The sequence below is a fragment of the Homo sapiens genome, chromosome 15 (genome assembly GCF_000001405.40).
Source record: "Homo sapiens chromosome 15, GRCh38.p14 Primary Assembly".
NCBI lineage: Eukaryota > Metazoa > Chordata > Mammalia > Primates > Hominidae > Homo > Homo sapiens.
The window spans coordinates 40,780,777-40,793,546 of record NC_000015.10 but is presented as its reverse complement, the minus strand read 5'-3'; the positions used below and the strand labels follow the sequence as shown (position 1 = coordinate 40,793,546).

The 12,770-nt window shown below is 46.9% G+C and overlaps 1 protein-coding gene across 2 annotated transcripts in view, besides 1 other annotated feature; it reads left to right on the top strand.

Moving 5' to 3' along the window:
- DNAJC17 (DnaJ heat shock protein family (Hsp40) member C17) overlaps nucleotides 1-12,770 on the top strand; it is a 42,313-nt gene that overhangs the window by 13,927 nt on the left and 15,616 nt on the right. The gene's annotated exons all lie outside the window — the stretch shown is intronic.
- Nucleotides 33-1,232: an enhancer, noted in NCBI's record as "MED14-independent group 3 enhancer chr15:41084513-41085712 (GRCh37/hg19 assembly coordinates)". NCBI's record gives its function as "activates an origin of replication core promoter dependent on BRD2, BRD4, P300/CBP and CDK7 cofactors, and independent of MED14, by STARR-seq in HCT116 cells {active_cell/tissue: HCT116}" and the evidence as "EXISTENCE:reporter gene assay evidence [ECO:0000049][PMID:35650434]".

Sequence of the window (12,770 nt, the reverse complement as noted above, 5' to 3'; positions counted from 1 at the left end):
GAGGCAGTGGTCAGGGTAGGAAGGCGGTGGAGGATCAAGTAGAACAAAATTGAGGATCACCAGAGTTCAACATTTAGTTCACATCAACAAATGAATGGAGTTTCTCACCATGGACAAGGTACTGTTTGAGCATGGTAGGACTTAGAGCTGAGTAAGATACCACTTCTGACTTCTGACAGCTCACACAGTTATATACTCAGTGAACGCTGAGGTGCAATGAATGAGGTTCAGTAAGAGTATATAAGAAAATGCTGTAAGAATAAAGAGGAAGACATGATTTATATGACTGGTGTTTTTATGCAAGATCTTGAAGGGAGAAAAGAATATATTGCAGCAGTTAGAAGGGATCTTCATGGGCTGGGCACGGTGCTCACGCCTGTAATCCCAGCACTTTGGGAGGCCGAGGCGGGCAGATCACGAGGTCAGGAGATCGAGACCATCCTGGCTAACATGGTGAAACCCCGTCTCTACTAAAAATACAAAAAAATTAGCCAGGCGTGGTGGCGGGTGCCTGTAGTCCCAGCTACTCGGGAGGCTGAGGCAAGAGAATGGCGTGAACCCGGAGGCAGAGCTTGCAGTGAGCTGAGATCGTGCCATGCACTCCAGCCTGGGTGACAAGTGAGACCATCTCAAAAAAAAAAAAAAAAAAAAGAAGGGATCTTCATGGTCATTTACTGTCTTATTTTGTAGACTGGAGAATGGAGGTTCAGAGAGGTTACAAAATTTTCCACGACCATCCAGCGAGTGAGCATCAGCCTGAGACTAGAGCTCCAATCAAGATCCTTTCCACTTTTGTGCAGCCCACATGTGTATTTCTGGGGGTCTCACTCTGTCCTCCAGGCTGGGACCACAGGAGTGCACCACCACGCCTGGATAATTTTTAGAAAAATATTTTGTGGAGATGGGGTCTCCCTATGTTGCCCAGGCTGGTCTCGAACTCCTGGGCTCAAGCAGTCCTCCTGCCTCGGCCTCCCAAAGTGCCAGGATTACAGGCATGAGTCAGCATGTCCAGCCTGTCTTTCTCTTCTGTCTGTAGCAGCCTTACCTTTCATTTGAAGCCCTTTGAAGGGTGTGTAGCTCATTCATCTTGGCAGGTAATTACCTGGGGAAGCCAGATGTTTGAAAATGCATTTTGATTGTTTTTCAAGACTCAAAGCTTAAGTCTATTTATCAGGAAAACTACCAGGGAAACTTAATATTGACATTTTCTGGGAGGGAGGTTATATTATAGCATATAAATTACTGCAAGGAAAAGGCTATTTTATCTTTAAGCTAGCTATTATCTTGGTACCACTAGCTACATATTTCTTTTATACCCTAGAAGGTGGTGCATCAACATTGTTTCTTAAAAATTTAAGAAGACTTGGTTTTTGAGGACAGAGGACAGACAAGGGCTTGAAGGAGCAACCGGGGCATGCAGATGTGGAGTGCCTAGCATGACAGGGAATGGGCATGGCCTAGGGTTTGCTGAGGAGGTCGCAGGAGATGAATCTGAGAAATGTGTGTTTGGGCCTCTAGGCCCTAGGGTGGTTACACTTGATTCTGTGAGCATCTGGGGGCCATTTCTGGATCTGAAGTGTGCCTGATGTAATCTGCTGTCTCCAAAGGGGGCTTTTCCCAGAACCTCTTATATCTAGACCAGGTGCTGAGGCCTTGAGGTTGGGTACTGAGCCTGTTTGTTTTGTTTTGTTTTGTTTTTTTCAGATGGAGTTTCGCTCTTGTTGCCCAGGCTGGAGTGCAATGGCGTGATCTTGGCTCACTGCAACCTCCGCCTCCTGAGTTCAAGCGATTCTCCTGCCTCAGCCTCCCCAGTAGCTGGGATTACAGGCGCGTGCCACCACACCCAGCTAATTTTTGTATTTTTAGTAGAGACAGGATTTCACCATGTTGGCCAGGCTAGTGTCGAACTCCTGACCTCAGGTGATCCGCCCACCTCAGCCTCCCAAAGTGCTGGGATTACAGGTGTGAGCCACTGCGACCAGCTGCCTGTTGTTTTTTATTTTATTTTATTTTAGTTTTTTGAGATGGAGTCACTCTGTCACCCTGGCTGGTGTGCAGTGGTGCGATCTTGGCTCACTGCAACCTCCCCCTCCCAGGTTCAAGCAATTCTTCTCCCTCAGCCTCCCGAGTAGCTGGGTCTACAGGCACACGCCACCATACCCAGTTAATTTTTGTATTTTTAGTAGAGATGGGGTTTCACCATGTTGGCCAGGCTGGTCTCAAAACTTCTCACCTCAGGTGATCGCCTGCCTTGGCCTCCCAAAGTGCTGAGATTACAGTCATGAGCCACCGCACCCAGCTTTTTAAAATTTTTTTTGTAGCCTCAATATATTACCACATTATTTATTTGTTTATTTATTTATTATGGTTTTTTAGAGGCAGGGTCTCCCTACATTGTCCAGGCTGATCTCAAACTCCTGGGCTCAAGGGATCCTCCCACCTTGGCCTCCAAAAGTGCTAGGATTACAGGCATGAGTCACCGCACCCGGCCTATTTTTTTTTATTTATTTTAAGTTATTTTTTCCAAGCCTGGTTTCACTTGAAGATAGTTGTTCTTCACCAAGGGCCTGACCAGCTCTGGGTGGATCTAGCAGCTGGTCTCTAAGTCCTCTCAGTATCTCCAAGTCCCCTCAGTATCACTCTTCACCAAAGCTGTCTGGCTGAAGCTCTGGATTTTTGAAGTTACTTAGGTGCCTGTTAAGTCAAAAGGAATGATTCATTTGTGTTTGTAAGCTGTAAGCGATTCATTAACATTCAAGATAATACCTCACATTTCTATGACACCAAAGTGCTTTCACATAAATTATCTCATTTGATGAGACCTTGAAAGCAAGCCTGTGAGGTGGTCAAGGACTACTGGCACCAATTCCTAGATGTGGAAACAAAGACTCCAAGAATTTAAGTGATTCGCCCAGCATAAGGTGGCTGGTACTGCCACCTTATTTTATTTTTATTTTATTTTTATTTGGAAAGAGAGTCTCGCTGTGTCGCCCAGGCTGGAGTGCAGTGGCACGATCTTGGCTCACTGCAACCTCCGCCTCCTGGGTTCAAGTGATTCTCATACCTCAGCTTCCCAAGTAGCTGGGATTACAGGCATGTGATGCGCCACCATGCCCAGCTGATTTTTATATTTTTAGTAGAGACGGGGTTTCACCATGTTGGCCAGGCTGATCTCAAACTCCTGACCTCAAGTGATCCACCCGCCTCAGCCTCCCAAAGTGTTTGTATTACAGGCGTGAGCCTCTGCGCCCGGCCCACACCTGAATTTTCTACTCCTCTTTGAGAACTTTTTCCGTGACCCACACTTCAGGACCAATTAGAGCAACAGGAGACGGGTCTGTGGGCCCCAGAGAGTCTCGCAGCCCCATCTGTAACACAGATAGAGATTTTACCTGCCTGGGACTTGGGTAAACCCAGCAGGTAGTAAGCTGCTCTGAACAGCTTAAGGAACTGTGTTAAGATTTGTGTTAAAACTACCATAGCACAGTTTCCATTTCCTTGAAGTTAGTGGCATTCAAAATGTTTTCCATTTGCATAGCGCTTTCCCTATTTTTGCTGTTCGTAAGTATTGTTATTTAGTTATTTTCACTAAATCAACTCATTTCTTTTCTTTTCTTTTTTTTTTTTTTTTTTTTTTTTTTTTGAGACAGTCTGTCTCTGTCTCCCAGGCTGGAGTGCAGTGGCGCAATCTCGGCTCACTGCAAGATGCGCCTCCCGGGTTCACGCCATTCTCCTGCCTCAGACTTCCGAAATCAACTAATTTCTTTTTACTAATACAAATTTGTTTATAAAGGAAACAATGCATTAAGGGAAGACAGAAATGAATGAGGTGTAGGAAGTACCAGGGCCCAGAGGGAAGGAGTTCTACCCCCTGGGAAAGGGCAGAGACTGGGCAGAGGAAGTGGTTCTGGGGCTAGAGACCCAGGCCTCTAGGAGTTAAGAGTGACAGCAGGCAGTGGGGAGACGTTTCTGGCAGATCTGGGCATGAGAATCTACAAGCTGAGAGAAGGTAGGAAAGGCTTTTGGGGTCTGAGCCTAATATAGCGGTGGTTAGGATAAGGTTAAAAGGGAGGAGGTGGGCCAGAGAGCAGGGTGGTATCTGAGGAGGAGAAAGAGGGCTGTAGACTGGGTTTCAAGTGGGCTGGTTTGGGGAAGTGGACCGAGGAGAGCAGGATAGGAGGGAGTACTGTGGGGGAGTGAAGGAAGGGGGACCTGGAGATGAGATCCGGGGGGATGGGAGGAGCTAAAGAGTGGCCTCAGGATTGGCTGAGGAACCAGAGCCCAAAGGGCGTACAAGGGCCATCATTTGGGGAGAAGCAGGCCAGGCTCCGTGTGTGGTCCCAGCTGTTCTAGGTGGCACAGGCCCCTGTTCTGAGACTGAACCATGGGCCATGGCTATCAGCCTGAGAGGGATGTCAGTGTGAGGCCCAGGTTCTCTGGTATTATCTTGGTACCACCAGCAGGCCCATGTTTTGGGAGCATTGAGCTGAGGGGGCTGTCTGGGGTTGGCCAGCTCTCTGCTTGTGCCAAGCCTTGGGAGCAGCCCATAGGTTGTACAGTGCCCAGGCATTTGGGGACTTCTCTGTAGTGCTGTCCCAATAGGGGTCACAGGCTGTAAGGAATGAAAGGATCAATCTTTCAGGCACAGGGAACTTCTCTTTTATTTTTATTTATTTATGTTTATTTAAAGAGATGGATCTCACTCTGTTGCCCAGGCTGGCATGCAGTGGCATGCAGCCTCAAACTCGTGGACTCAAATAATCCTTCCCAGCCCCACCCAAGTAGCTGGGACTACAGGTGCATGCCACCATGCCTGGCTCATTTAAAAAAAAATTTTTTTTTTTTTTTTTTGAGACAGAGTCTCGCTCTGTGGCCCAGGCTGGAGTGCAGTGGCATGATCTCGGCTCACTGCAAGCTCCGCCTCCCGGGTTCATGCCATTCTCCTGCCTCAGCCTCCCGAGTAGCTGGGACTACAGGCGCCCGCCACCATGCCCGGCTAATTTCTTGTATTTTTAGTAGAGACGGGGTTTCACCGTGTTAGCCAGGATGGTCTCGATCTCCTGACCTCATGATCCACCCACCTCGGCCTCCCAAAGTGCTGGGATTACAGGCGTGAGCCACCGTGCCCGGCCCATTTTTAAATTTTTTGTAGAGGTGGGGTTCGCTTTGTTGCCCATGCTGATCTTGAACTCCTGGCTTCAGGCGATCCTCTTGCTTTGGCCTACCAAAGTGTTAGGATTACAGGCATCAGCCACCATGCCTGGCCAGAGGGGACTTTTAGGCAGGTGCCCAGAGCTCTGTTGTTTGCTTCCTGCGTGTGACATCAGGCAGTCATATACCTCTGGGGTTCCTGCTAGTGAGGGGATGGGGAGGCATCTGCCTCTCCGGGCTTGGGGAGACGTGGCTGCCCCAGCTGTTATCACTCACTGTGCCTGTGACTGGAACTGGGCCTGGCAGTGGGTTTCCAGCTGATTTACCCGGGATGCTTTGTCCATTCAGTGCTTGTTGTCACATAGAGCTGCCTCCCTCTGTGTCCTCCTTATCTAAGTCTAACCTATCAGCCTCGGCCTCTTTACTTGTACCACTTACTTACCTGGCTCCAAGCTTTATTACAAGAAAGGACAGCAACCTTTTAAAAAATAATGATCCCTTCTTTGTAGGGCACCTTTCTTTTAAGTTAATGATGGCTATTTTGTATTTATTGGATCCCTTAGCACTTAGCTTTTTTGGGTGAGTCAGGAGTTCCTTCCCCCATCAAGAGGTGAAACTGGAGGCAGGTGGATGTCAGAGGCCCTGCTGTGTGCTTGCGGCAAAACCCAGTGGAGGTGGCTAGAGACCCAGCTTCCAGCCCTCCTCCCCTGCTCTGGGTTCAGGTTGCTGAAAGTGGTAGAACCGGTTATAGAGCTTCCGGGGAAGGGCTGGGTGGCTGCCAATTTATTATTCATTGTCTGATGTGGGCAATGAGGGGGTAACATTTAGTTCCCACTGTGGTTATCCTGGCAGTCTGCTTTAGTAATTCCTTCCCTTTCCCAGACTTGGTTTTTTAAGAGGAGGTGTTAGCAGGGAGGAGGAGAAATTGTGAAATAGTGGTCAGATCTCCTAGGGTCTGGATGGCACCTACTTCCTTCTGCTCCTCAGTGGGTCTGAAGTAATTGACATAGTTGAGGTTTCCGATTGTGTTTTGGTTGAGAACAAATGAATGTTTGCCAATTCATGCAACAGATATTTATTGTGTGCCTGCTGAATGCCAGGTGCTGTTCACTGTTCTGGACCCTGGGGAGAAGCAGAACTCCCTGCCTCCTAAGTACATCCACTTTATTTGTAAGGGGAACCCCCATACCTTCCTATACCCTTATGCTCTCATTTAAGGTATAGTTATAACCAGCTTATCTGTTTCTCTAGACCATACCAGAAAAGAAGCAGCAGATGAGCAGCACTTCTAGGGAAGGGCTGGCATCTGGCAGTCTAGTAGAGGCCAACTAAGGAAGTAATAGGAAAACTATTAAAAGAGTAGAATTTAAAATCCTCGCCACCTAGGGAAGCAAATGAAAAGCCTGACACCACTCTCCGTAGAACGTGTCATACTATTCAGTAGTTGATGTTCTGGATGATGATCCTGAGACATCAAAAACAGATTAAACTCAACCAGTCTAGGATGGAAAAAGGGTGGTAGACAGTGAGGTTTTTAGAAAGCCATCAGGAGAAAGACCAAGTTTCTGCAAATTGCAGTTCGAAGTACTCACGGAGCTTACATTTATCTGAGATCTTCGTCCTTCTGAGGCTGGGCCTTAGAAAGAGCTTCTCCTCTGAAAAGCCATGATCTGGATGGGGAACTTTGGGTTGGAAACATTTGAACTGTCACCTGGATCCTTTGTGAAGTCTCAGAAATGCAAGTGTTTCTAAGCGCTAGAGAGACCAGGGGATTTAGGGGAAACCTATAGGTAAAGAAGAAAAGCTGCAAGTGAAAAGCCACACCTTGCTGTGGCTGCTTCAGCTCTGCCTCAGTGATCCCAGCACCTGCAGACACAGTTTCTTTCTTTCTCTTTTTAGAGATGGGGTCTTGCTCTGTTGCCCAGGGTGGTCTCAAACTCCTGGGCTCAAGCGATCCTCCCGCCTCACCTTCCCAAAATGCTGGGATTACAGGCGTGAGCCACTGGACCTGGGCCAGAGTCAGTTTCTGGAGGAGCTTCCAACCCGGGATACCTGGCTTTCAGCAGTCCTGTTTATCCTATATCATAAGGAGTAAGATTATAGAGGATGGCCCTTCTATTTCTTGTTCTTCTGAAAGTTCCTCTCCTTCCCAATTTTGTGATAGTTATAAAAAATAATTGTTGTACATTTTTACCCTGAATCTAGCCTTTTGAGCTGTTCATAAGGTAGGATTATTTAATAATAAACAATATTGAGACCGGAAGGTTTTTCAAAGGCCTGCTTTAGGAGAGTTGTGTTTACATGGTGAGAAATTCTTCAGGCAGCAGTCAACTCCAGGAGGGCTGGACAAAGCTGGGAATCTAGTTTGTAGTACAAAGCACCAAATTCTAGGCCAACCGGTTCAAAGTCAAAACTGGTCTTCCAGGCTAAAACCAAGGGATGGGCCCTGCCCAGGGCAGGTTTAACAGTTAAATATAGTAATAACTAGTTAATCAAGACAGACATACTTGACCAACATTCTTAGGCCAGCTGGGTTTTGATTCAAGGCCACTCTGGAAGATCTCAGGCTACCTACCCATCCCTTCTACCCCTTGAATAAGAGTATTTCAGAGACCCTGGGAGTGAACCCAGGATTGAATTTTAGATCTACCCCACAGCAGACTCAAATCCAGCCCTGTCCACCTAGAGAATTCAAATGGAGTTGACCTGCATCCACTGTGGACCAGGGTCCATTCCTGAATTCCTGTCCAATTGGCATCCTGCTGGCCTGGTGTCACAGTTTACCCTCTTCCAGAAGTAGAGGAGAGAAAGGTTTGGGAACTTGTAGGAAGCACCTAGTTTTTGTCAGGTGCTTACACGGATCATTTTCTTTAATCCTTCCAGCAGCCCTGTGTGTAGGATTTATTCTTCTCAGTTTGATGTTGAAGTCCCTAAGGCTGTGTGAGCTTCAGTAATTTGCCCAAGGTCATGCTATCAGTATGTAGAAGATTCCGAATTTGAAAATACATCTGCCAGACTCCAGAACTTGCCCTCTTTTAGTGAACCATGCTGCCTCCTAGCTTAGAATTGTGGAAAGAAGCTAAACAATTTTGTTTTTGTTTCTTACCAGTTTTTTTCTTGTATCACTTGAAAAGTAATACAAGCTTATTATAGAAAGTAAATATCAGCTATAACCCTTTCAGCTGTTTATAAGGTAGGATTATTTAATAATAAACGATACTGAGACTGGAAGCTTTTTCGGGGATATCCCTTTTCTTTCAGAGATGTTGTTGTTGTTGTTGTTTTGTTGTTGTTGTTGTTATGGACTTTCACTCTTCCCTCCCAGGCTGGAGTGCAATGGCATGATCTCGGCTCACTGCAAGCTCCGCCTCCTGGGTTCAAGCGATTGTCCTGCCTCAGCCTCCTGAGTAGCTGGGATTACAGGCTCCCACCACCATGCCCAGCTAATTTTTGTATTTTTAGTAGCGACGGGGTTTCACCATGTTGGCCAAGCTGGTCTCCAACCCCTGACCTCAGGTGATCTGCCCGCCTCAGCCTCCCAGAGTGCTGGGATTACATGTGTAAGCCAACACGCCCGGCCCAGAGATATTTTTATATTTTTGTATTTCCATCTGTTGGGGATGAAAGTCCTAGCCTCCCTGTTTGGCTTTATCTGACACCACTCTGGCAGAGGTTTAGGGTAGCAAGAATGGAAGTCTATGCTCTCTACCTGGCCTTTGATGGCATGGGTGGGGTGGTGTCCACTGTTTTTTCTGTGGTAATTGGCTGGAGTAGAATAGTTTTTGCCTAAAGTAATGTTTGTATGGCTTTTCATTGAATGGATTTTGGGTATCATAATTAACCCTTATGTCACAGTTTCCTCATTTGTAAAATGAGGAGGATAATAATTTCTACCTCATAGGGGCTTTAAGAATTAAATAAGTTAATATATGTAAAGCATATTTGACAATATGAGTGGATTTTTCAGCTTGAATAATTTTATTTTCCTATTACAGTGAAAAACCAAAATTCCAATATAGAACATTCAAAATAAATTATGAAACACAAAAGAATATTTATCATTCCCTTAGAATAAAATTCAGAAAGCATTCTCTCAAAAAAAGGAAAGAAAATGAAGGAGATGCCACTGCTGGACACCCCTTCTGTCTTGCTTTCTTACTGCTCCTTCTTTTTTTTTTTGAGACAGAATTTTATTTTTGTCGCCCAGGCTGGAGTGCAGTGGTGCAATCTCGGCTCACTGCAACCTCCGCCTCCCAGGTTCCTGCCTCAGCCTCCCTAGTAGCTGGGACTACAGGCGTGTGCCACCACGCCCAGCTAATTTTTGTATTTTTGGTAGAGACGGGGTTTTACCACGTTGGCCAGGCTGGTCTCGAATTCCTGACCTCAACTGATTCGCCCGCCTCAGCCTCCCAAAATGCTGGGATTACAGGCGTGAGCCACCACACCCAGCCTGCTCCTTCTTCTTCACACTCACTTCTACTCCCCCTCTCAGATTTATAACAAGGAACATACAAACTTTTATTTTATTTTTTTGAGACAGAGCCTTACTCTGTCACCCAGGCTGGGGTACAGTGACACGATCTCAGCTCACTGAAGCCTCTGCCCCCCGGAATCAAGTGATTCTTCTGCCTCAGCTTCCCCCATAGCTGAGATTACAAGCATGCACCACCACACCCGGCTAATTTTTATATTTTTAGTAGATACAAGTTTCACCATGTTGGCCAGGCTGGTCTCAAACTCCAGACCTCAAGTGATCCACCCACCTCGGCCTCCCACAGCGATGGGATTAGAGGTGTGAGCCACCATGCCCAGCCTAAACCACTTTAAAAGAGCCCCATGATACAAAAGAAAACATCTTCCACAAAACCCCCCTACATCCCTGGGGCAAGCCTACTAGTCCTAGTCCTGAGGAAGTTCATCTTGAAGGTAGTGTTGCAGGTGATGCCATAGATACTGGGACATGGACCGCCTCCCCCTCCCTTCCTCTCACCCATCCCAGAGAGAGGGTGGAGATAGGATCAGAGAGGAGGGGCCCAGAGGCCAGGAACAAACACCCAACAGACTCCTGTCAGTGTGTGTAGGTGCTTTTATATGTGTTAATGAACCTTGATGTCAGAGGGCTGGGGAGATTGAGAAAGAACATCTTTATAATGTTTTTGGTATTGTTTTACTTATTGAAAAAAAGCAAACAGGGGCCCTGAAATATAAAATATGTTCAGTAAAGGAATGAGGCTGGAGGCACAATAAAGCAGGCAAAGAGAGCAAAAGAAAGAAAAGACGAATGATAAGGGACCTAAAAAGTAAAGATGATATATTGCAAAGATGACACTGTCTTAAGCTAGCACCTCCTTTCCCTTAATATTGTTCTTTTTTGTAGTGAAAACAGAGCTAGGCAGGGAGGGTTAGGGTGGGAGGTGAGCAGGCAGGGCAGATGTGCTTCGGTGGGCGATTGGGAAGGCAGGTGGCACGTCTACACCCTCTCTGCCCAGCGCCTGTCCTGGGTGGTTCCTGCTGCCTCCAAGGCAGTCAGGAGAACCAAACAGCTTGGGCTGCCATGGCAGGTGCCCTGGCTATGGCCCAGCAGGTGGCAGCACACCCCTAGAGGTCCTGGGCCCGGTGGCTGCCTCATGGATGGAGGAGTTGCCCAGCAGGTGCTCACCTTGTGGATGCTGGCTGCTTACCTCTGAAAGTCCTTATTTAGCACACTTGGGTGTAGAAGCGTTTCTTGCGTCCATCTTGGAAGCTTAGAAATCCAATCTGCTTAGCTCTTCCTCCAGGAGGTTTGAGCAGCAGGTAACACACACCAAGCAGAAGGGAGAAAGCAAAGGCCTTGGAGGCAGAGGACGGATTCTGGGGTTGTGTACACTGTCTTCACTTACAACAGCTATTAGGTAGCACACGAAAGAGAATCTTGGTAGCTGTGTTTATTTTTACTTATGTAAGAAATATTGGGGTTTCTTTCTTTCTATGTATTTAAGAGAGAGTCTTGCTCTGTCACCCAGGCTGGAGTGCAGTGGCATCATCATAGCTCACGGCAGCCTCAAAATCCTTGGCTGAGGTGATCCTCCCTCCTCAACCTCCTTAGTAGCTGGTACTGCAGGCACGCACCACTATGCCTGGCTAATTTTTTATTTTATTTTAATTTAATTTAAAATTTTTTTATTTTTATTTTTGAGACAAGGTCTCACTCTGTCACCTAGGCTGAAATGCAGTGGTGTGAACATGCTCACTACAGCTTCAACCTCCCGGGCTCCAGTGATCCTCCCACCTCAGCCTCCTGAGTAGGGGGACAAAGGCACATGCTACCACACCTGGCTCATGTTTAAAAAATTTTTGTAGAGATGAGGTCTTGCCATGTTGCCCAGGCTTGGCTGGAACTCCTGGGCTCAAGCGATCCTCTCGCCTCAACCGCCTGAGTAGCTGGGACTACAGGCATGCACCACCACACCTGACAAAAAAAAATTTTTTTTTTTTGAGACAGAGTCTCATTCTGTCTCCCAGGCTGCAGTGCAATGGTGTGATCTCGGCTCACTGCAACCTCTGCCTCCCAGGTTCAAGCGATTCTCCTGCCTCAGCCTCTCGAGTAGCTGGGACTACAGGCGCCCGCCACCATGCCTGGCTAATTTTTTTGTATTTTTAGTAGAGACGGGGTTTCACCGTGTTAGCCGGGATGGTCTCAATCTCCTGACCTCGTGATCCACCTGTCTCGGCCTCCCAAAGTGCTGGGATTACAGGCTTGAGCCACCGCACCTGGACTAAACTCAAAAGTTTATAATAAGATCTATGTCAGAACATGGATACCTCTGTCTACTATAATATTTTATTTAAAAAAAATTTTAATAAGCGTGGCAAATTCCTGAACAAACTTTTTGAAATTTATTTTTTATTATTTTTTTGAGACAAGGTCTCCCTCTGTCACTCAGGCTAGAGTACAATGGCATGATCTCGGCTCACTGCAACCTCCGCCTCTGGGGCTCAAGTGATTCTCCTGCCTCAGCCTCCCAAGTAGCTGGGTCTACAGGTGCACGCCACCATGCCCGGCTAATTTTTGTATTTTTAATAGAGACAGGGTTTTGCTTTGTTGGCGAGGCTGGTCTCGAACTCCTGACCTCAAGTGATCTGCCCACCTCAGCCTCCCAAAGTGCCAGGATTACAGGCATGAGGATTACAGGATTACATGCCAGGATTACAGGATTACACCATGTCTGGCCAATCATAATCTTTTTTTTTTTTTTTTTTTTTCTGAGATGGAGTCTCGCTCTTGTCCCACAGGCTGGAGTGTAGTGGCACAATCTTGGCTCACTGCAACCTCTGCCTCCTGCATGAATCAAGCGATTCTCATGCCTCAGCCTCCCAAGTAGGGGGATTACAGGGGAATATGTCATCACACCCAGCTAATTTTTGTATTTTTAGTAGAGATGGGGTTTCGCCATGTTGGCCAGGCTGGTCTCCTACTCCTGACCTCAAGTGATCCACCCGCCTCAGCCTCCCAAAGTGCTGTGATTACAGGCGTGAGCCACCATGTCCGGCCTCAATCATAATCTTTTATTTTATTTTTTATTTTATTTTATTTTATTTTATTTGAGACAGAGTCTTGCTCTGTCGCCAGGCCGGAGTGT